The sequence below is a fragment of the Homo sapiens genome, chromosome 9 (genome assembly GCF_000001405.40).
Source record: "Homo sapiens chromosome 9, GRCh38.p14 Primary Assembly".
Classification (NCBI taxonomy): domain Eukaryota; kingdom Metazoa; phylum Chordata; class Mammalia; order Primates; family Hominidae; genus Homo; species Homo sapiens.
Genome location: NC_000009.12, coordinates 125,282,237 through 125,307,547, shown reverse-complemented (window position 1 = coordinate 125,307,547; position 25,311 = coordinate 125,282,237). Strand labels below are relative to the sequence as shown.

General features: G+C 42.2%; 1 protein-coding gene and 1 pseudogene across 57 annotated transcripts in view; one reads left to right on the top strand and one right to left on the bottom strand.

Moving 5' to 3' along the window:
* The window catches only part of GAPVD1 (GTPase activating protein and VPS9 domains 1), a 105,382-nt gene that overhangs the window by 59,660 nt on the left and 20,411 nt on the right, over positions 1-25,311 (bottom strand). For 26 of the 57 annotated variants that reach the window (NR_148732.2, NR_148733.2, XM_047423181.1 and 23 more), the window contains 4 exons: positions 8,442-8,658; positions 4,722-5,565; positions 2,399-2,485; positions 1-135 (listed from right to left, as the gene is read on the bottom strand). Coding sequence is in view for 55 of the 57 variants with exons in the window: in XM_047423181.1 (XP_047279137.1) it covers positions 1-135; positions 2,399-2,485; positions 4,722-5,565; positions 8,442-8,626 (1,251 nt within the window). In the remaining 2 variants the exon portion in view is untranslated. Of the gene's footprint in view, positions 136-2,398; positions 2,486-4,721; positions 5,566-8,441; positions 8,660-10,027; positions 10,120-11,973; positions 12,091-19,664; positions 19,787-25,311 lie in introns of all 57 variants that reach the window. The other 31 variants (XM_047423182.1, XM_047423193.1, XM_047423205.1 and 28 more) reach the window with 4 other exon arrangements.
* On the top strand, positions 3,522-3,628 carry RNU6-1020P (RNA, U6 small nuclear 1020, pseudogene; annotated as a pseudogene).

Below are 25,311 nucleotides of genomic sequence, written 5' to 3'. Positions count from 1 at the left end.
CAGAGTAATAAGCTGACTGTAGGTTATATAAACCACAGTTCTGCTCAATCCTTCCAGAAGATTGACGGAAGACAATGGAGGGGTCTCCACTGCACGGCCCCCAATCACAACATCAAGGAAAGCGGCAACACAGCTCTGTTAAAACAGGAAAAAAACAGTGAAACATTTCCCTTTAAAATACTGGAACGAAATTTCTCATTAAGGTGGACAAGCATGAAAAAATTTAAACATCTTAAAAATCATATTTTTTTAAGATGTTGAATTTTTTTTTTTTTTTTTGAGACAAAGTTTCACTCTTTTACCCAGGCTGGAATGAAATAGCACCATCTCAGCTCACTGCAACCTCTGCACACCTCCTCCCCCACTGTGATTCTCCTGCCTCAGCCTCCCGAGTAGCTGGGATTATAGGTGCCACGACCATGCCCGGCTAATTTTTGTATATTTAGTAGAGATGGGGTTTTGCCATGTTGGACAGGCTGGTCTTGAACTCCTGACCTCAGGTGATCCACCCGCCTCGGCCTCCCAAAGTGCCAAAAATACAAATGTGAGCCACCCCGCCTGACCTAATTTTTGTATTTTTTGTAGAGATGGGGTTTCACCATGTTGCCCAGACTGGTCTCAAACTTCTGAGTTCAAGTGATCCGTCCACCTCAGCTTCCCAAAGTGCGCTCAGCACTAGGATTACCAGCATGAGCCACTGCACCCAACCTAAAAAAATTAAACTCTTTTTGTACTGATATAGTCTAAGATCTTGGAGCTGGGTGTGGTAGTGCATGCCTGCAATCCCAGCACTTTGGGAGGCCAAGGTGGGTGGACTGCTTGAGCTCGGAAGTTCAAAACCACTTGGGGCAACAGGGCAAAACCTTGTCTCTATGAAAAATACCAAAATTAGCCAGGTGTGGTGGCGCGCACCTGCAGTCCCAGCTACTTGGGAAGCTGAGGTGGGAGGACTGCTTGCGCCAGGGAGGTCGAGGCTGCAGTGAGCTGAGATGGCATCACTGGGTGACAAAGTGAGACCCTGTCTCAAAAAAAAAAGAAAATAACAATAAGATGTTGGAGACAAACATAACACAACACAGAACAGTATACACATTGTGCTACTATTTCTGAAAGGGAAAGGAAGGGATGGTTGGAAGTATATAGTGTACGTAGGAATTTGCCTGTAAACATATGGACCTCTAGAAGGAAAAACAACCTAATAACATCAAGAATCTTTTGGGGGCCAGGCGTGGTGGCTCACGCCTATAATCCCAGCTACTCGGAGGCTGAGGCAGGAGAATTGCTTGAACCTGGGAGGCAGAGTTAACAGTGAGCCGAGATCACGCCACTGCACTCCAGCCTGGGTGACAACAGCGAACCTCTGTGACAAGAAGGAAACTCTGTCTCAAAAAAAAAAAGAATGTTTTGTGGGGGCAGGGAATGAAGACTAGAGATGAGACGTGGAAGGGAAATTTTACTCAAATATCCTTGAATTTTCATTGGTTGAATGTACAGCTTAATCAAAGTAAGACTGATTAAAATTTTATTTAACTATATTAATTGAACAATGTCATAGATGTTAACTTATAAACTACACTTAAAATTAAACAATTATCGACCAGGCATGGTGGCTGACATCTGTAATCCTAGCACGCTGGAATGCTGAGGCAGGAGGATCACTTGAGGCCAGGAGTCAAGACCAGTCTGGGCAACATAACAAGACCTCGTCTCTATAACAATAAAAACACTTAGCCGGGCATGGTGGTGTGCCCCTATAGCCCAGGTACTTGGGAGGCTAAGGTGCAAGGACTGCATGAGCCCAGGAGTTTGAGCCATGATCACACCACTGCACTCCAGCCTGGGCAACAGAGTGAGACACTGACTCGAAAATTTAAAAGTTGGCCAGGCGCGGTGGCTCACGCCTGTAATCCTAGCACTTTGGGAGGCCGAGGCAGGTGGATCACGAGGCCATGAGTTCAAGACCAGCCTGGCCAAGAAGGTGAAACCCCGTCTCTACTAAAAATACAAAAATTAGCCGGGTGTAGTGGCAGGCACCTGTGATCCCAGTTACTGGGGAGGCTGAGGCAGAGAGTTGCTTGAACCCGGAGGCAGAGGTTGCAGTGAGCCAAGATCATGCCACTGCACTCCGCCTGGGCGACGGAGCGAGACTCCATCTCAAAAAAAAAAAAAAAAAAAACTTTTTAAAATAAAATAATCTTAACAGCTCTTTGATTCTCTTACGACGGCATCTCCTCAATACATCTGTGGGAATTAATCATCTTTAAATGCTGCTGATCCAATACTGTAGCTAATTAAAAGAACATTTAATTTAGATATCACCTAAGGACAAGATTTAATAAAGAGAACAGTTAGGCTCACTAATACTTCAGAATTTTCTATAAATCATATTTATTCTTACTTTGTCAAACTTTCCAAGGCTGCTCTTTGTTCGGGGATCTCCCTCTTCAGAGCCAGTCATTGCTAACTGCTGCAAAAGGCGGCCTACCTGCAACCCAAAGCAGTGGTAGGGAGACATAAGCTACAGACAGATACTCACAAATACGTCTCTATGAAAGCAAGCACGTCTATTCTGTTCTAAAAATCTGTTTCATAATACTATTCATATCACCTGACCAGGCATATGAAATAGTATCCCCCAAAAAATGTGTACCTTATGTCAGCTTTTACTATTTTTAGATTAAGAGTTAGAGAAAGTATAAATTTTTGCTTTAATTTCTCTTTAACACATAAGATATCAACATTAGGGAAAAAAAGCACAATACATTTGTTTCTGACATTGTACTTTTCATTTGTTTAGAGCTTTTTAAATTAATTTGTAAAAGCTGACTCATTCATTAAATTGCCTTAAGTTAATATTAAGAACATTACCTTATAGCGTTCACAAAGCAATCAAGGTATAATTTTTTCCCTAGATTTAAAAGCAAATGATTCCTAACATAAGCTGGTTTGATAAAGTAAATACTAATTCATAGAACAAGTACCTTACTGGCAAAATTTGTTACTGCACTCTTTTTAAAGGCTAATGATGAAAGTTATTACAACATCCTCTTCTTAATATCTGGGACAAGCCCCCTTTTTACTGATTCTGAAAATATGTAATTTGATCTCTACTGGAATGACAAAAAAAACAAACAAAAAAAACTACAAATACATTATCTACCATAAGAATAAATTTAAGTGTTTCATGGGCCAGGCACAGTAGCTTACGCCTATGATCCCAGCACTTTGAGAGGCCAAAATAGGAGGATTACCTGAGGCCAGGAGTTCAAGACCAGCCTGGACAACAAAGCAAGACCCTGTCTCTACAAAAACATTTTTTAAATGAGCGAGGTGTGCTGGTACACACCTGTAGTCCCAGCTACTCAGGAGGGTGAGGCAGAAGGGTCACTTGAGCTCAGGAGTTCAAAGGCTACAGAGAGCTAAGATGGCACCACTGTACTCCAGCCTGGGTGACAGAGTGAGACTATCTCAAAACAAACAGACAAACAAAAAAAAACCTACTGTTTCATGTCAAAAATTTTGTGCTCGCTTCAGAAGCACATATACTAAAATTGGAACTCTACAGAGAAGATTAGCATGGCACCTGTGCAAGGATGACACACAAATTTGTGAAGTGTTCCATATTATAATTTTTTTAAATTTATAAACATTAAAAAAAGTTAAAAATTTTATTTCAGGCATTTCTATACAGTGAATTGCTAAACATCCCAAGGTGATATAACTGATCATTAAAAACAGCTAATCATTTTTTCTGATTTTTTTTTTTTTTTTGAGACGGAGTTTCGCTCTTGTTGCCCAGGCTGGAGTGCAACGGTGCAATCTCAGCTCATCGCAACCTCTGTCTCCCGGGTTCAAGCAATTCTCCTGCCTCAGCCTCCCAAGTAACTGGGATTACAGGCATGTGACACCACACCTGGCTAATTTTGTATTTTTAGTAGAGATGGGGTTTCTCCATGTTGGTCAGGTTGGTCTCAAACTCTGGACATCAGGTGATCCGCCCGCCTCGGCCTCCCAAAGTGCTGGGATTACAGGCGTAAGCCACCGCACCCGGCCAATTTTTTTTTTTTTTAATAGATATGGGGCAGTTGGGGGTCTCACTATGTTGCTGAGGCTGGTCTCAAATTCCTGATGTCAAACGATCTACCCACCTTGGCCTCCCAAAGTGCTGGGATTACAGGTGAGAGCCACCACACCCAGCTTGAGCTAATCATTTTTTAACAATCACCCAAGGCCAGGAGTGGTGGCTCACGCCTGTAATCCCAGCACTTTGGGAAGCCGAGGTGGGCGGATCATCTGAGGTCAGGAGTTTAAGACCAGCCTGACCTAAATTTTAACCCCATGGCTAAAAATACAAAAATTAGCCAGGGCGGTGGTGTGCGCCTGTAATCCCAGCTACTCAGGAGGCTGAAGCAGGAGAATTGCTTGAACCCGGGAGGCGGAGGTTGCAGTGAGCTGAGATTGCGCCACTGCACTCCAGCCTGGGCAACAGAGTGAGACCCTGTCTCAAAAAACAGACAAAGACAAAATGTTTTGTGACCGCAATAATTTTAAATCCCAGTATTACTGCTTTTATTTAATAAGATGCAAATACTTAGGACTGGTTGAGAAAAAGTTGTAAGAATATACAAATACTGTCATCGTATTATTTGTTCCCACCCCCACAGCCCAATCAACTGAATTTTAAACTAAATGCCACGTTAATAATAATAGCAAAAGCATACCTGCATCAGATTAAATCGTGCTACTTCATTAATAGGAGCATCGGAAATTATTCCATATTGTTCTGGATTGACAACTGCAGGACAAATGAAGCAGGCCAACAGGAGATCAGTACACATTGCCCTGACCTCCCCAACTTCCAGCCTATCTACACAGGAGAGGGTTTTGTACATCTGAGACACGATCCACCTTAAACTATGTGGAAAACAATATGTGTTCTGTTTGAGATAACCAATAAATTTGTTCACCAAAGCCACTAGCTTTGCTTCATTGGACTCCACCATTTCTTGAACTTTTTGCCTGAATCTATCTGAGCCCTTCTCTCCAAAGAGTTTTTCCTGCTGAGATGGAGAGAACCTCTCAATTAGCTTGTTTGGATCTGTTTCCAGGTGATCTTCATCTTCAACAAGCAGTTGCATAATTGGCTCATGTAAAGTGGCTGTGAGGAAAAGTTTGGCAGAAAACAGTCCTTCAGAAAAAAGTTTAAATAAGATGCTGAAGGCACAAGTTCCTCTCCTCAAAAGTCGCCTAGGGTTGTCACTTTCTTTAAGTTCAAATTCAATCAAGTATCGCAAAACCTGAAGGAGGTAGCTTTCATCTTCTTGCATGATGCAATTGCCATACAGGGAGGTAAAAACTGTGTAAATAACACTTTGTGTGTTCTCCTGATTAAGTTTCTCTCCAGCAACCAAAGAGGAGGCAATAAGACGAGGATTTTCCCTCAATCGACTCAAGAATTCTCCATAAGCAGTCTCCTGAAATCCCAATTGCTTATACCCATCAACAAATTGTGTATCTTCCAAAATTTTGGCATGTTGGCAACATTCAGCAGGGGAAGCTTCAGCACTAAAAAAAAAAAAAAAAAGAGCAAACAAGCAAAATAATAGTATTAATAATAATAACACATATACTATATCCAAACATGGATATGTGAGTTGATTATGGTCCCAACAATGAGGTCACTCTGAATTGCTAAAATTTTTTAAACTAACAGCAACTCAATGAGTAAAGGACAACAAAACTAAAAAGTACAAAGGACAATTTCCTCTTATCAAATCAGAATCAATGAAAAGTATTGGGGCTGGGTGCGGTGGCTCAGACCTGTAATCCCAGCACTTTGTGAGGCCGAGGCGGGCAAATCACTTGAGGCCAGGAGGTCGAGACCAGCCTGGCCAACACGGCGAAACTCCCATTTCTTCTAAAAATACAAAAATTAGCCAGGCATGGTGGCAGGCACCTATAATCCCAGCTACTTGGAAAATTGAGGCAGGAGAATCACTTGAACCCAGAAGGTAGAGGTTGCAGTGAGCTGCAATCATGCCACCGCACTCCACCCTGGCCAACAAAGCAAGACTCTGTCTGGAAAAAAAAAAAGAAAGAAAGAAAGAAAATTATCAGTTTGTAGATCCTAAAAACTGTCCAGAGCTGCCCTCTTATGGATTAAATTAAAATTAGCTACAGGAAGGACACAGTGGCTCACACCTGTAATCCCAGACTTTGGGAGGCCAAGGTGGGAGGATCACTTGAGCCCAGGAGTTCAAGACCAGCCTGGAAAATATGGTGAAACCCCATCTCTACAAAAAAATATGAAAATTAGCTAGATGTGGTGGCGTGTGCCTGTAGGCCCAGCACTCAGGAGGCTGAGGTGGGAAAATCGCTTGAGCTCAGGAGCTTGAGACAGCAGTGACTCAAGATCATACCACTGCATTTCAGCCTGGGCGACACAGCCAGATCCTGTCTGAAAAAAAAAAAAATCAGCTACAGTTAAACTGCTTATGCTTATTTATGGACATAAGAAAGTTTACAAATACTCAAGTACTAAAAAATAATAAAAATGAAGTCGATATCAGCATATTGCTCAACCATTCTCAACAGCAACATGCCAGTATGTAATGACCTGCAGAATCACATCCTTTAACTAGGCTTTTTGCTTCTGGAAACAAATCCAAATAAAATAAGCCTAAAAGATGTGGGGAAAAAACCACAATGCCCACAACAGCACTGTTCTTTTTTTTTTTTAAACTCATTTTTATTGAGGTAAAATACAGTAAAGTGCACAAATGTCAAGTGTTCAGCTTGAACAATTTTTACACATACATGCACCCAGTAATCACCACTCAGATTAAGACATGGAACATTTTAAAAACCCAAGAACGCTTTCACGTGCCCTTTCCCAGTCAATACCACCCTCTCAAGCCCAAAAAGTAACCATTATTCTGATTTCTGTCATCAAAGATCAGTCCTGTCTCTTTTTGAACTTCATACAAATAGAATCATACAGTATGTATTCTTTTGCATCTGGCTTATATTCTCAACAGCACTGATATTCTTAGAGTTAAAAACTGTTCTTGGCCAGGCAGGGTGGCTCATACCTATAATCCCAGCACTTTGGGAGGCCGAGGGGGCAGACTGCGAGGTCAGAAGTTCAAGACCAGTCTGACCAACATGGTGAAACCCCGTCTCTACTAAAAATACAAAAATTAGCCAGGCATGGTGGCACAAGTCTGTAATCCCAGCTACTCAGGAGGCTGAGGCAGGAGAATCTCTTGAACCCAGGAGGCAGAGGTTGCAGTGAGCTGAGATTGTGCCACTGCACTCCAGCCTGGGGGACAGAGCGAGACTCCAACTCAAAAAAAAAAAAAAATAAAATAAATGTTCTTCGTAGGTATTAAGACAATAAAATGTGGTTTCTAAACCCGAAAAATAGCTATACAATATCAAAACATGGAAATACATATATATATATATATATATATATATATATATATATATATATATATATATATATATTTTTTTTTTTTTTTTCTTTTGAGACAGAGTCTCACTCTGTCACCCAGGCTAGAGTGCAGTGGTGCGATTTTGGCTCACTGCAACCTCCACCTCCCGGGTTCAAGCCATTCTCCTGCCTCAGCCTCCCGAGTAGCTGGGATTACAGGCGTATGCCACCATGCCCCGCTAATTTTTGTATTTTTAGTAGAGATGGGGTTTCATCATCTTGGCCTGGCTGGTCTTGAACTCCTGACCTCGTGATCCACCCACCTCGGCCTCCCAAAGTGCTAGGATTACAGGTGTCAGCCACCACACCCAGCTGGAAACCTATATATTAAATAATATTAGGAGAAAAGCAGAACAGATAATTTACTCTCTACAACAACATTTTTTTTTTCTTTTGAGGAGACAGAGTCTCGCTCTATGGCCCAGGCTGGAGTGCAGTGGCACAATCTCGGCCCACTGCAACCTCCACCTCCCGGGTTCAAGCAATTCTCTGCCTCAGCCTCCCGAGTAGCTGGGATTACAGGCGCCTACCACAATGCCCAGATAATTGTTGTATTTTTAGTAGAGACGGAGTTTCACCATCTTGGCCAGGCTGGTCTTAAACTCCTGCCCTCATGATCCACCCGCCTTGGCCTCCCAAAGTGCTGGGATTATAGGTGTGAGCCACCACGCCCAGCCAACAATAACATTTTATATAGACAAAGACACAAAACCAATTGGTGTGATATAAAATGTCAATGCTTAAGTTACAATTTTCTATAAAAGTGCCTAAGTTACTTAATAATCCAAATAAACTGTATTATAAGCAAAGACTCACCTTAACATTGATGTAAATTATCTTAAATAATGCACTTTGTTGGAAACAGATTCATTTATTTATAGTTACTAATTTATTTACAGAATCATAGTGGTTCACAAAACTTAAAACCTGAAAATCATCTCTTTACCTGGTTATGATAAGCCGATCCAAATTGATTCTCTGTTGCTTCGCAATCCATGCTGTACGATACAACTTTTCAGCTGTCTTAAGTACATCTGCATTGAGCCTCTGAATGAGCTGTTTCTCAGAGTTTACATATAAGCGTTCCTGCTTGAGGTGATGAGCCAGAGTATGAATATCTAGTTTCACCATCTTCAATGTGGGAAAGGCTCAAAGGCTGATCACTAAGAGTAAAAAGATAAAGATTTAAAGTTTATGTATGTCACTTAAGTTCTTTTCTAAAATCAAAAGGGACAGGAGAATACTTTAAGAATTCAGTTACATTTGGGCAGGCGCGGTGGCTCATGCCTATAATCCCAGCACTTTGGGAGGCCAAGGCGGGCGGATTACAAGATCAAGAGATCGAGACCACCCTGGCCAACATGGTGAAACCCCTGTCTCTACTAAAACACAAAAAATTAGCCAGGTGCGGTGGGGCGCGCCTGTAGTCCCGGCTACTCAGAAGGCTGAGGCAGGGGGATTCCTTGAACCCGGGAGACAGAGGTTGCAGTGAGCTGAGATTGCATCACTGCACCCCAGCCTGATAACAGAGCAAGAATCGTTCTCAAAAAAAAAAAAAAAAAAAAAAAAAATTAGGTTACATTTGATGCCACTTTTAACTCTAATTTTCAAATAATCTCTATCTTTTTATTACAGAAGTATTACAGGTTCAGCATAGAAAAATTGGTAAATACAGATAAGCAAAAAGAAAAAAAAGCTCACTGCTAAGGCCACCGCTTAGAGACAGGTGCTGTAAACCCTGTGTATATCCTCAAATACAATGTCTATTTGTTAACCCCAGAGTTATCCTTGACTGTGCTCTTTCTAATCACAATCAAAATATCCTGTTGATTCTATCTTCAAAATATATTTAAAATCTGACTACTTATTCCCCCCTCCATTGCTAATCACATCAATTCTCACTAGGAGGTGCATAATCACCACATCCTAAGTGATCTCGCTGCTTCCTTTCTTGTACTTCTAGAGTCTGTTCTCTACATAGCATAGTGAATTAAAAAGTCAGATCACAGCCGGGCGCGGTGGCTCACGCATGTAATCCCAGCACTTTGGGAGGCCAAGGCAGGTGGATCACCTGAGGTCAGGAGTTCGAGACCAGCCTGGTTAACATGATGAAACCCCGTTTCTACTAAAAATACAAAAATTAGTTGGGTGTGGTGGTGTACACCTGTAGTCCTAGCTACTCGGGAGGCTGAGGCAGGAGAATTGTTTGAACCTGGTAGGCGGAGGTTGCAGTGAGGTGAGATCATGCCACTGCACTCCAGCCTGGGCAATAGAGTGAGACTCTATCTCAAAAAACAAAACAAAACAAAACTTAAGTCAGATCACTTCATTCCCCTACTGGAAACCATCCACAGGCTTTATTTCATGATAGAATGAAATCTGAAGGTCCTATATGATCTACCCCTGGCTACTTCTCCAATTTCCTCTCCTACAATCCCACCCTAGTTCACACAGCTCCAGAACATCTGCCTTCTTGCTGTTCCTTGAACAGGCCAAGCATGTCCCTCTCTCAAAGTGTCCACATTTGCTGACCTCTCTGTCTGGAAGGTTATCCAGTATCTTCATTCCATTCAGATCTCTCCACTCAAACGTGTATTTAGAAAGGCCTTCTCAGACAACTCCTTCTAAAATAGAAAATATAACTTCCTAATCCCTCTTCTGGCCTTTTAAAAAAGCACTGCCCCTATCTAGCATTATATTACAGATATCTACCTGCATGTTAATCGTGCTTATTGTGAGGCTTCCCCACTAGAAGGTAAGTGACAGCAGGGCCAAGCCTTGTTTGCTTTGTTCATTCACAGCTGTAATTTCAGGGACTAGGAGACGGCCTAGTTCACAGCAGGAGTTGAATAAATATTTGCCAAAGGAATAAATGAAATCTCACTACTCTTATTTATCTAGCAGCTAAACAAACTGATACAAATAGCACACATATTTTAAAGCATTATTATTTAAGCTATGCCCTTGAATCTAGAATTTGTGCCAGATCACAAATGTTAAATCAACAACAGAAATACCTGTGGCACAGATAACAAAACATAATATTGTGTGTCTGGGCAGCAGACAGTCATCAAGTTAGCAAAAAATTTCTTGGGTTGGGCACGGTGGCTCACACCTGTAATCCTAGCACTCTGGGAGGCCAAGGCAGGTGGCTCACTTGAGGTCAGGAGTTTGAGACCAGCCTGGCCAACATGGTGAGACCCTGTCTCTACTAAAAATACAAAAATTCACCAGGCGTGGTGGCAGGTGGCTGCAATCCCAGCTACTCAGGAGGCTGAGACAGGAGAAACTTGAACCCAGGAGGCAGAGGTTGCAGTGAGCTGAAATCGCACCACTGCACTCCAGCATGGGCAACAGAACGAGACTGTCTCCAAAAAAATAGGAGAAAAAAAAAAAAAAGGCCAGGCACAGTGGCTCACACCTGTAATCCCAGCACTTTGGGAGGCCAAGGCAAGGGGATCACCTGAGATCAGGAGTTCAAGACCAGCCTGACCATCATGGAGAAACCTGGTCTCTACCAAAAACACAAAATTAGCCGGGCATGGTGGCACATGCCTGTAATCCCAGTTACTCAGGAGACTGAGGCAAGAGCATTGCTTGAACCCAGGAGGCAGAGGTTGCAGTGAGCTGAGATCGCGCCACTGCACTCCAGTCTGGTGACAGAGTAAGACTCCATCTCAAAAAAAAAAAAAAACCTAAGAACTATATGTGGCCGGGTGTGGTGGCTCACACCTGTAATCCCAGCACTTTGGGAGGCTGAGGCAGAGAATTGCTTGAACCCGGGAGGTGGAGGTTGCAGTGGGCCGAGATTGTGCCACTGCACTCCAGCCTGGGCAACAAAGCAAGACTCTCTCTCAAAAAAAAAAAAAAAGGAAGAAAGAAAGAAAGTGTTAGGATGTCTGCAACTTGTACATGGTTCAGCAAAAACATTAAGAGAATTTTTTTAAATATAGCTAAATATAAACTGTTGAACTGAGGTGGTAGGTATATAATGATCGCTGTGCTATCTTTCAATGGTTTTTGTATGTTAGAAATTTTTCATAATTAAAAAATGGGGTAAAATACTTTAGAAATTCTCAAACTGTGCCTTTCTTGCTGCTTAATTCAATGTAATTGAACAAATATATGACTGAGTTTCGCTGGAGCCTAGCCAAATCGCCTAATCTCAAGGAGCTCACAACCTAATTACAATTGAAATATTGTTCAAGATAGAAAGAGAACATAAAATGTTTTCAATGACACAGCAAAATATGAGCCAATTCATGCAATTTAGAAATTAAAGTCTTCAAACACAACTTTACGTTAAAAAATTAACACATGAGGCTGGGCATGGTGGCTCATACCTGTAATCCCAGCACTTTGGGAGGCTAATGTGGGCGGATCACTTGAGCTCAGGAGTTCAAGATCAGTCTGGCCAACATGGTGAAACCCCGTCTCTACTAAAAATACAAAAACTAGCCGGGTGTGGTGGCGCATACCTGAATGCCAGCTACTTGGGAGGGTCAGATGGGAGGATCGCTTGAACCCGGGAGGCGGAGGTTACAGTGAGCTGAGATCGTGTCACTGCACTCCAGCCTGGGTGACAGAGCCAGACCCTGTCCCAAAAAAAAAAAAAAAAAAAAAGATTGAGGAAAAGGGTTTGATAATTTAAAAAGTATACCAATTTGTTCTGCTTTTCTAAGACACCACTATAATATCAGAGGAGTTCAGGGTCACCAGGAATAGCTTAAATAAAATTTAGACATGAATAACTAAAAGTAGGAAAATTTTTACAATACTGAAGACAACAGAAAAGTACAGACATTAGGAAATAAATCAGTTTGTTTCCTGAAAAGTAACAATAACATGACCATCAAACTAACAATAATAATATTAATATCAAACTAGCATTTATTTAGGAGTTATGCCAAGTACTCTGCTATTCTTTTTCCTAATTGAACTCTTACAACCCTGTGACAGGTGTACTCTCATTATCCTCATTTGACAGTTGAGAAAAGTATTGACATATCTAGTATGTAGCTAAGTCAAGATTCAAACAAACTCAGTTCTGTCTGACTCGAAAGAAGCACTTGCTCTCAATCAACTAATCTAAACATTTTGTCAGTAACATCTACTTTAATTTCTAGTTCTGTTAAAAATTTACTCCTTAAAGTTCCTGTTACCTATTGGTTTTTATAGAACTTTATTTGGCTTCTGATGACATCTACTTCATTTGAGTTTACACCCAAATACCACACAAAACATAGTGTCTCCAGCCCTTATCTCTTGACTGAGCTTAAATTCTTTATTTCCTCTACCTGCAAAACATCTGAATATCAAGACAGAATTTCAGAATTGAAAAGTTTATTAAAAGCCATTTCTCTCAGCACCATAGGAAAGTTTGAAAAAAAAAAAAAAAAACCATTTTAGCTGGGTACGGTGGCTCACGCCTGTAATCCCAGCATTTTGGGAGGCTGAGGCAGGTGGATCACAACGTCTGGAGTTTGAGACCAGCCTGACCAACATGGTGAAACCCCGTCTCTACTAAAAAATTCAAAAATTAGCCGGGCATGGTGACACGCGCCTGTAGTCCCAGCTACTCAGGAGGCTGAGGCAGAAGAATTGCTCAAACCCAAGAGGTGAAGGTTGCAGTGAGCCGAGATCACGCGCTGCACTCCAGCCTGGGCGACAGAGCGAGATTCCGTCTCAAAAAAAAAAAAAAAAAGCCATTTTGGCCGGGCGCAGTGGCTCATGCCTGTAATCCCAGCACTTTGGGAGGTGGAGGCGGGTGGATCACTTGAGATCAGGAGTTCGAGACCAGCCTGACCAACACTGTGAAACCCTGTCTCTACTAAAAATATAAAAATTGGCCAGGCACAGTGGCTCACGCCTGTAATCCCAGCACTTTCAGAGGCCGAGGTGGGCGGATCACGAGGTCAAGAGATTGAGATCACCAACATGGTGAAACCCTATCTCCACTTAAAAACACAAAAATTAGCTGGGCATGGTGGTGCACACCCGTAGTCCCAGCTACTAGGGAGGCTAGGGCAGAAGAATCGCTTGAAGCCAGGAGGCGGAGGTTGCAGTGAGCTGAGACTGTACCACTGCACTCCAGACTGGCAACAGAGTGAGACGCCATCTCAAAAAAACAAAAACAGAAACAAAAACTTATATATATATATATATATATATATATATATATATATATATATATATATATAAAATATATTTTTATATATATATTTTTTTATATTTCATATATAAATATAAAAATTTTTATATATTTTATTTTATATTATATATAATATAAAAATGTATATATTTTATAAAAACATAAAATATATATTTATATAAAATATAAAAATATATATTTAATATAAATATATAATATATATATTTTTATATTATATATATAATATATATATTTTTATATTATATATATATAATATATATAAAATTAGCTGGGCATGGTGGCAGCTGCCTGTCATCCCAGCTACTCGGGAGGCTGAAGCAGAAGAATCGCTTGAACCCGGGTGGCAGAGGTTAGAGTCAACTGAGATCACACCAATGCACTCCAGCCTGGCCAACAAGCAAAACTCTATCTCAAAAAAAAAAAAAGCCATTTCTCTACTTTAATTCAGCAATTATTTCTGAAATGTATTCACTGTGCCAGGCACTGACAATACAGAACAAAACAGACACAATCTCTGTCCTCATAAAGCTTAGTCAACTGTGAAGCTAAGAACAAGGAAATTACAAGTCACTACAGGTATGATGAAAGGAGACCTAAGAGTCCAATCACCCAAGATTCAAACATATCCTAGAGCATAGCAATCTCCCTTCTAAAACCAGCAACTCTTTCAGACTTTTCTATTTCTGTCATGGCACAAACAGGTTCCTAGACTCCAAACTCAGGAACCATCCTCTCCTCAGCAAGGTCTGTCACCAAGTTCTACTCTCACATTGGTCCTTTCCTTTTGAATTGTTCTGCAAATAACCAAATTCCATATCATAAATCCATGACAACTGGAAAAATTTCCTAACATGTTCCTATACTTCAAGTTTCTTCTCTCTCCAACCTACCCTACACTGTCAGATTGGTATTTCCAAAGCAACAGTTAATATAATCCTTCCCAATCCCTCCAGAATTCCTTTTGAAAGCCATTAATGATTTCCCAATAGTGCCAGAATATATTAAAACATCTGCAGAAGTCAGGAGAGCCTGTGTGCTCAATTAAGACTCCCCTTAATTAATACTCCATACTTCCAGTATCAGAAGCCAAATGGAAGCCCCAGAAAATCCTGCATGTATTTGGCAAGAAGATCTTCTCCTCTCCATTCCCTCAGCCCTTACTGCCAACCCCATCAAAATCTACCCTGGACCAGCCGGGCGTGGTGGTTCACGCCTGTAATCCTAGCACTTTGGGAGGCCAAGGCAGGCAGATCACTTGAGGTCAGGAGTTCAAGACCTGCCTGGCCAACATGGTGAAATCCCTCTAGTAAAAATACAAAAATTAGCCGGGCTTGGTGGTGCACACCTGTAATCCCAGCTACTCAGGAGGCTGAGGCAAGAAAATCACTTGAACCCGAGAGGCAGAGGTTGCAGTGAGCTGAGATCACAACACTGCACTCCAGCCTGGGTGACAGGGCAAGAGTGTCTAAAAAAAAAAAAATCTACCCTGGACCACCAAGTCTTAGTTTAGTCTGCCCTTTATTTCTGTTCATGTCAATCATAATAAAGTCAGAACTTCCAGGTCATCCTTTATCCTGCAAAACCAAATCTCTAAACAGCTTTGTGTTTCTTTTGTTGTTGTTGTCTTATGGTTTTGTTTTGTTTGCTGAGACAGGGTCTTGCTGTCATCCAAGCGGAGTGCAGTGGCGGTATCATGGCTCACTGCAGCCTCTATCTCCCAGACTCAAGCAATCCTCTCACCTCCGCCTCCCGAGTAGCTGTAGTTATATGACACTACAGCCAGCTAATTTTTAAAATTTGCTTTTTGTGGAGACAGAGTCTCACCATGTTGCTCAGGTCTCAAACTCTTGGGCTCAAGCAATCCTCCCACCTCAGCCTCCTAAAGTGCTGGGATAACAGGTGTGAGTCACCGTGCCTGGCACCTGGATAGCTTTGTACATCACCTCTTCCTATCTCACCTCCTGCTCCTCCTTACCTCTTCAATCCTTTTCACAGTGGCTCCTGGAACACAAGTTCAATTATCAGAAAATCTGTAACTTGAACCTTTTCTGGAGAGGTTCTCTTTACCTTCCTGCCTTAACTAAAATCTGGCTTTCCCATGGGAACATGGCTTCCTCTATAGACCTCTTAGGTAAGGCTGTTTTCTCTCCCATATCCTTCACACTATGGGTCCACTTTCACACCACTCTTCCTCCCTCCACCATTAAAAACCCCAGCTTTGAATCTCATTTCATTAAACCATACCACCTATCATCCTCCCTCTCTTGCAGGCACATACTACAGTCTTTTCTTACTTCTCCAACACCACACAACTCCAACAATCATATGACCCCACAACAAGACTTTCAAGCCATTGATCTTACCACCTTTTTAACTAACCTTCACCTGCTTCCTGTTTTTGCTTCCCTCCTTACCTAGCTAGTGTAAATCCCATGGCCAATCATTATAATCACTTCCTTGAATGCACCCTCAACCTGCCCTCCTCACTAGACTAAACCGCAATCCCAGTTAAATCAAATGTTCTGCCTCATCCACACATGTAGCTGGGGAAACACACACACATGACAACGCTAGTATCCTTTTTTTTCTTCCCTTAGATAAGGTCTTTCTCTGATGCCCACACTGGAGTGCAGTGGCATGATCACAGCACTGTAGCCACAACCTCCCAGGCTCAAGCAATCCTCCCTCCTCAGCCTCCTGAGTAGCTGGGACTACAGGTGTGTGCCATCACACCCAGCTATCTTCTTCTATTTTTCTTGAGAGATGAGGTCTCCCTATGTTGCCTAGGCTGGTCCCAAACTCCTGGGCTCAAGTGAGCCTCTTGCCTTGGCCTCCCAAAGTTCTGGGATGAAGCCATTATGCCCAGTCTTTTTTTTTTTTTTTTTTACTTTGAGACAGGGTCTTGCTGTTGCCCAGGCTGGAGTGTAGTAATGTGATCACGGCTCAATGCAGCCTTGACCTCCCCAGCTCAAGCAATCCTTCTACCTCAGCATCCAGAGGCTGGGACCACAGGCATGCACCACCACATCCAGCTAAATTTTTATTTTGTAGAGATGGGGTCTGATTGTGTTACCTAGGCTGGTCTCAAACTCCTGGGCTCAAGTGATATTCCTGGCTTTGGCTGGGATTACAAGTGTGAGCCACCATGTCTGGCTATTATCACTTTAACCCCATTATCACAAACCCTAGATGGACGCTTACTGTTGTGACACATGCACACTGTATTTTCCCAATCCATCCCCCACTGTCCCACTCTCCAAGGCAGCTAATTCATATCATTTCCTCTTCTCAAACTTCCAACACCTCTTCCCTTATCCTTATTCGGCTCCGCGCTTTTGTCTTCATTGAGAAAAATGAAGCAATGAGAAAGAGACTTTCCACAAGCTCACAGTATCATACTTACATTGACTTATCTACATCTATGCTCTTTCTACTTGCTTTTACTTTGAATGAACTGCTTTTCTACTGGTCATTGCCAATCCTCACTTGAACACTGGCTTCCTCCCTTCATATTTACTTAAAAGCAATGCTAAAGAAATCCAGCCACCCTTTCCCCACGTTCATATTTTTCTCTCTACTGGATCATTTTCACCAACATATAGACTTGCTGTCATTTTTCATCTTATACAAAAAGAAATCTCTCTACTTCACTTTCCCCTCTCAGCTTCCATACCATTTTTTCTCCTTCCCTTTACAACAAAACTCTTTCAAAGAGGTGTCTTGCCTCTCATCCACTCCTAAACCCGCACTCATCAGTTTTGCTCCACTACTCAAAACTACTAGTGTTCAACAATAAACATGCTACTAAATCCATGGTAAATATCATTCCTCCTCTTCCTGACCTAACAGAAGCATTTGAGATGGTTGACCTCTCTCCTCTTTAAGAAACTTTCTTTGACTTCTAGGACACCCACATTCTCATGGGTTTGCTCCTGTCCTTCTCCACTCAGTCTATCTCCTTTGTTAGTTCCCTTATCTCCCTGATTTTGAAACACTGGATAAATTACCCCAAGGCTCAATCTTCAGACCTTTTTCTTTTCTAACTAAACTCACTTCCTAGGCAATCTCATTCAGTCTCAATCATTTTTAAGTACCATCAAAGTGATAACAGTTCCCAAATTAATATCTCCAGTCTGTCCCTTTCCCCTGAATGCCAAATCCATATATGCAACTGCCTAGTCAACATCTCCCTTGGGTTGTCTAATACGCATCTCAAAATTAAAACATGTCCAAAACTGACCTCATCTTCCCCTAAAAAACACCTGCTTCCCTCCCCACAAAAAGACGGCCTTTCCCATCTCAATCAATGGCAATTCCATCCTTCCAACTGCTCAGGCCAAAAACTCTATCATTCTTGACTCCCTTCTTTCTCGTAAATCCTATACCCAATCCATATCAAATCCTGATGTGTATCTTCAAAACACATCCAGAATCTATCTACTTCTCAACACTTTTACTGCTACCATCCTGTCCCAAAGCACCACATATCTCACCTGGATTACTGCAATAGTTTCCTAACTAACTATGCTTCAGTCTTTGCTCCTAGTCTACTATGAACACAGCAGCCAGAGTAAGCCTGTAAAGCATGAGTCAAATCATAGGGCTCCCGTGTTCAAAATCCTGCAAATGTTCATCTCAGCTCTCCATTATCTGCTCCTCACCACCTTACCTCTCCTACCTCACCTCCTATTACCAGGAGACCATATAATTCATCACTCAATATCTGGACTCTATTGGGAGTAAAAGTAGGCAGTATCAATAATTTCAAGACAACAGACATAAACAAGAACATATAGTCACTCTATTACTCTCTCCCTCATTCATTCTGCTCCAGCCGTATTGTCAGACGTGCCAGACACACTTCTACCTTAGTACCTTTGCACTTGCTCACCATCCCAGACCTCTTACTTCCTTTAGGTCTTTACCAAAGTATCATGTTCTTCAGTGAGTTTGGCCACCCTATGTAAGATTTCAGCCTCTACTATGCCACACACTTTCCCTGCATTGTTTTTTCTCCTTAGCACTGAGCATACTATACATTTTACTTATTTATCTCATGTATTGACCATCTCTGTAAGAAAATCTGAACTCCATAAGAAAAGAGATTTTTGCCTAATTGGTTCCCTTGCAGTCATCACTGACCATAAGAGAGCCTGGCACATCACAAGACTTCAGTATGTACTTGCTAAATGAATGTAAGAATGGGCCGGGCCTGGTGGCTCACGCTTGTAATCCCAGCACTTTGGGAAGTTGAGGCGGGAGGATCATGTGAGCCCAAGAATTCAAGACCACCCTGGGGAACATAGTGAGACCTCTGTCTCTTAAAAAAATGAAAAGGAGGTATTTCAATGACATATTCTTATTAGAGGCTTCAAAACAAAAGGTAGAAATAACACAGAACAAGGATGTAGTCCTTTGGTGGATGGGAAAAGAAGATGTGAACAATATAAATTGTCATTAAATATTAACAAGGCCGGGTGCAGTGGCTCAAGCCTGTAATCCCAGCACTTTGGGAGGCTGAGGCGGGTGGATCATGAAGTCAGGAGTTTGAGACCAGCCTGACCAGCATTGTGAAACCCCATCTCTACTAACAATACAAAAATGAGCCAGGTGTGGTGGTGCGCGCCTATAAATCCAGTTACTCAGGAGGCTGAGGCAGGAGAATCGCTTGAACCCAGGAAGAGGAGGTTGCAGTGAGCCGAGATCGCGCCACTGCACTCCAGCCTGGGCGACAGAGTGAGACTCCGTCTCAAAAAAAAAAAAAAAAATTAACTAAAATAAACACACTGCACCAAAAACATTAAAAACAACATCTGGAAGTTTCATATAAGACTTAAAGTAGGCCAGAAACGGTGGCTCACACATGTAATTCCAGCATTTTGGGAGGCCAAGACAGGCGGATCACTTGAGGTCAGGAGTTCGAGACCAGCCTCGTCAACATGGTGAAACCCGTCTCTACTAAAAATACAAAAACTAGCTGGACATGGTGGCACATACCTGTAATCCCAGCTACTCAAGAGGCTGAGGCAGGAGAATTGTTTGAACCTGGGAGGCAGAGGTTGCAGTGAGCCGTGATCACACCAATGCACTCCAGCCTAGGTGACAGAGCAAGACTCCATCTCAAAAGATATAAAATAAAATAAAATAAGTAAATAAATAAGTGACTTAAAGTAGGAATAAAGGTACAAAGTTGCTCACAATTTTCAGTTATTCTTTACCCCTCAGAGATAATTTCCAAACTCCTTGGTTTAATATTCAAAGCACAATCTTGCTTCAATCCACCCCTCCAATCCTAATTTATGCTATTTCCCTACATAAACTTTCCTGCTCCTGCCAAACTGGCCTTCCCATTTTTCTTTTATTTTTTATTTTTGAGACAAGGTCTTGCTCTGTCGCCAGGCTGGCTGGAGTGCAGCGGCACCATCATGGCTCTGTGCCTCCCCAGCTCAAGCAATCCTCCCTCTACAGGCATGCACCACCATGCCCAGCTAATTTTTGCATTTTTTGTAGAGACAAAGTTTAGCCATGTTGTAGAAGCTGGTCTCAAACTCCTGAGCTCAAGTGATCCACCTGCCTTTGCCTCCCAAAATGCTAGGATTACAGGCATGAGCCACTGCGCCCGGCCCATTTTTACTTTGAGTTCATCGTCATGTTTCTATATTTATATCTGGCCCCCTCTCATGCAGATGTTCCAATTTCCAAGACCAGACTCAATAAAACCTTCCTTTCCAACCATACAGTATGCACATGGCAATAAATCTCAACTCTGAACTCCTGACACACTGATTTTTTTTTTGAAATGGAGTTTCACTTTTGTTGCCCAGACTGGAGTGCAATGGCACAATCTCAGCTCACTGCAACTTCTGCCTCCTGGGTTCAAGCGATTGTCCTGCCTCAGCCTCCCGAGTAGCTAGGATTACAGGCACCCCCGACCACGTCCAGCTAATTTTTGTATTTTTAGTAGAGACGGGGTTTTGCCACGTTGGCCAGGCTGGTCTCAAACTCATGACCTCAGGTGATTCACCCACCTCAGCCTCCCAAAGTGCTAGGATTACAGGCGTGAGCCACCGAGCCCGGTGAAACTTTTGATACCACCAATTTGAAACCATTTTTTGTACTTTCATCTTTAATGTCTATATCCTGTCTTTCCGTGTCCTCAAAGGCATAGGGCATCTCTTAGGCCTATGTATCCCCAGCCCCCAAACCATGGCCAAACATAAGCAGCTCTCAATATTTTATCTTTGCTAATATTTGCATTGTCACCAGTTGCTCTATGAATAAGAACATAAGTAAAATCAAAGAATTTTTAAATTAACATTAGGCATACCTAAAATAACAAATATAATTTTTTCCTGAAATTCACGAGCAGTTTCTAAGTTAGTTTCTCTGTAGTAAAAAAAAAAAACTAGACTTTGAAAACCTGTAAGGTCAAGAGCTGGCCAGGAGTGGTGGTTCATGCCTGTAATTCCAGCACTTTGGGAAGCCAAGGCAGGCAGATTGCTTAAGCCCAAGAGTTTAAGATCAGCCTAGGCAACATGGCAAAACTCCATCTCTATCAAAAAATAAATAAAAAACAAAGAAAACAACAACAATAAAAAAATTTGCTGGGCATGGTGGCGCACAGCTGTTATCTCAGCTGCTTGGGAGGCTGAAGTGGAAGGATTGATTGAGCCCAGGAGGCAGACGTTGCAGTGAGCTATAATTGCGCCACTGCACTCCAGCCTGGGTGACAGAGCAAGGTCCATCTCAAAACACGTATATTAATATATATATGGCCAGGTGAAGTGGCTCACATCTATGGACCCGGCACTTTGGCAGGCCAAAGCAGGTGGATCACTTGAGCCCAGGATTTTGAGACCAGCCTGGGAAACATGGCAAAACCCTGTCTCTACAGAGAACACGAAAATTATCTGAGTGTGATCGCGCATGCCTGTAGTCTCAGCTACTCAGGAGGCTGAAGTAGGAGGATCACTTGAGCAGGGAGGTCAATGCTGCAGTAAGCCAAGACTGAGCCACTGCACTCCAGCCTGACCAACAGAATGAGACCCTGTCTCAAAAAATAAATAAAATAAAATAAGTTCAACAGCATTACCATATTTTCTATAAAAACGAAACAGATGGGCCAGGTGCAGTGGCTCACACCTGTAATCCCAGCACTTTGGGAGGCCGAGGCAGGTGGATCACCTGAGGTCAGGAGTTTGAGACCAGCCTGGCCAACATGGCAAAACACCATCTCTAACCAAAAATAGAAAAATTAGCCGGGTGTGGTGGCGGATGCCTGTAATCCCAGCTATTCGGGAGGCTGAGGCAAGAGAACCACTTGAACCCAGAAGGCAGGAGAATCACTTGAACCCGAGATCGGGCCACTACACTCCAGCTTGGACAACAGAGGAAGACTCTACCTCAAAAAAAAAAAAAAAAAAAAAACAAAGAAAAAAGAAATAGATTATGCCCATGCATATTAATCAGATTTTGAGAAGTTCAAGTTTTTCAACTCATGTTTTAACACTTATCACTGAGAGCACAGTAAGGAGATTTTAGTGGCAAGAGTGAAGCACACTGGATTTCTATATCTTTCCATAATGGTATAGAGGAGGGGCCAGCAAAATATGACTTTCAGGTCATATTTAGCCTGCTGCCTGTTTGTATAAATAAAAGTTGTATTGGAATGAAGCCATACTCACTTGTTTATATATTATCTATGGCTGGTTTCATGCCACAATGGCAGAGCTGAATAGTTGCCAGAGTCCTCCACAGTCCATGTGGCCCACAAGTCCAAAATATCTGCTATCTAGCCCTTCACAGAAAAACTCTGCCAACCCCTGATAAGCAAGCATATCTACTCTAACGCAAAGCACAGAGAGGAGGCACTGTCCGATAAGGTGAAATTTATGAATTACAAAATACAGTCATGCGCCACATAAAGACCTTTCAGTCAACCATGGTGAAACTCCAGTGGGCCCATGAGATTATAATGGAGCTTTTATACAATATTCTTACTGTACTATTTTTCTTGTTTAGATACACAAACACTTACTATTATGTTATAATTGCCTAGAGTATTCAGTACAGTAACATGCTATACAGGTTTGTAGCCCAGAAGAAAATAGGCTATGCCATATAGCTTAGGAGAGTAGGGGACTATGCCACCTAAGTTTGTGTAAACACACTCTATAATGTTTACACAATGACACTGCCTAATGACACATTTCTCAGAATGTATCCCTCTCATTAAGGACCCATGACTGCACATTAAAATTCTGAAGGAGGCCAGAGGTGTGGTGTCTCAAGCCTGTCAGTCAGTGCTTTGGGAGGCTGAGGAGGGAGGATCACTTGAGGCCAGGAGTTCGAGAACAGCCTGGGCAACATAACGAGACCCTGTCTCTTTAAAAAAAAAAAAAGTTGCCAGGCGCGGTGGCTCACGCCTGTAATCCCAGCACTTTGGGAAGCCGAGGTGAGCGGATCATGAGGTCAGGAGATCGAGACCACCCTGGCCAGCATGGTGAAATCCCATCTCTACTAAAAATACAAAAAATTAGCTGGGCATGGTGGTGTGCACCACCAGCTACTCAGGAGGTTAAGGCAGGAGAACTGCTTGAACCTGGGAGGTGGAAGTTCCAGCAAGCTGAGATCGCACCACTGCACTTCGGCCTGGGTGTCAAGAGTGAGTCTCCATCTCAAAAAAAAAAAAAAAAAAAAAGTTCTGGCGGGGCTCAGTGACTCACGCCTGTAATCCCAGCACTTTGGGAGGCCAAGGCGGGTGGATCACTTGAGGTCAGGAGTTCAAGACCAGCCTGGCCAACATGGCAAAACCCCATCTCTACTAAAAATTCAAAAAAATTAGCCAGGCATGGTGGCACGTACCTGTAGTCCTGGCTACTTGGGAAGCCTGACGCAGGAGAATCACTTGAACCCGGGAGGCAGAGGCTGCAGTGAGCTGAGATCATGCCACTGCACTCCAGCCTGGGTGACAGAGCGAGACTCCATATCAAAAAAAGAAAAAAAAAAGTTTCAAGGAAAATACATATATTACAAATGTTAACAACTATATCTAAATGAACTCCTCTGACTAAAGAGAAGGTCTCTAAGGTAGGAAAAAAAATATTTCCAACTTTTTATGGGATAAGAATCACATTTCAAGTTTTTGCTATTGAGAATTTCTAATTAATGGTATCCCAAATTAATGATATGTATCTAGCAATTCAAAACTCAAAGTAAGGCCAGGTGTGGTGTCTCAGACCTATAATCCCAACACTTCAGGAGGCCAAGGTGAGAGGACCACTTGAGCCCAGGAGTTTGGGACCAGCCTGGTCAATACAGGGAGACCCCATCTCTACAAATAATAATAATAATAAATAGCCAGGTGGAGGGATGTACGCCTGTGGTGTCAGCTATTCCAGAGGCTGAAGGCAGAGGATCACTTGAGCCGGGGATGTCAAGGCTGCAGTGAGCCAAGACTGCGCCACACTGCACTTCAGCCTGGGCAACACAGCACGACCCTGTCTAAAAAATAAAAATAATAAGCTGGGTGCGGTGGCTCACACCTGTAATCCCAGCACTTTGGGAGGCCGAGGTGGATGGATCATCTGAGGTCAGGAGTTCGAGACCAGCCTGACCAACATGGTGAAACCCAGTCTCGACTAAAAATACAAAATTAGCTGGGTGTGGTGGTGCATGCCTGTAATCCCAGCTACTCAGAAGGCTGAGGCAGGAGAATTGCTTGAACCTGGGAGGCGGAGGCTGTGGTGAGCCAAGATCACGCCATTGCACTCCAGCCTGGGCGACAGAGCAAAACTCCCTCTCAAACATAAATAAATAAATAAATAAATAAATAAATAAATAAATAAATAAAAATAAAAATAAACTTTAAGTAACAGCTAGAATTCAGGTAAACAAATGAATCACCTCTTTATTAACCCAATAATTTCAGAAATAATGTTGTTAGAAAGTCATTAAAAAAAGACCATTTCCTACTTTCTTAATTTCTACAAAGACTATTTTAATTAACATAGGCGAAAGAATACTAAAACTGGAATCAGAAGATCTGATGAATTTAAGACTGAACTCTGACACCTATTGGCAACGTGACTTGTGGCTAGGCACTTCACCAAAGTTTATTTCCTCATCTTCAAAATTGGGATGATGCCCTTATCTATCTCAGATGGTATACTGTAAGATAACTAAAGTATAAATTGCTGCAGAGTGTAGGATATCATTATTCTTATCAATTAAAAGGTAGGGTAACTTTTTATCATTTCCTAGGGGCAATGAGACAAGACGCCATATCCATCACATAACAAAATTGACCAAAATGACCTTTTCATCAAAGTAAGTGGGAAATATCAAAGTCGTAACTAAAGAGGTAAAACAGACTACCTGCTAACATTATGAAACCTACATGTGTAAAAGACTTAACTAAAAGTAAAAGTAAAAGCCGACTATCAGGCCAGGAGTGGTGGCTCATGCTTGTAATCCCACCACTTTGGGACGCCAAGGCAGGTGGATTGCTTGAGGCCAGGAGTTCAAGACCAGCCTGACCAACATGGTGAAACCCCGTTTTTACTAAAAATAAAAATTAAAACTTTTTATTTATTTTATTTTTTGAGACGGAGTCTCGCTCTGTTGCCAGGCTGGAGTGCAGTGG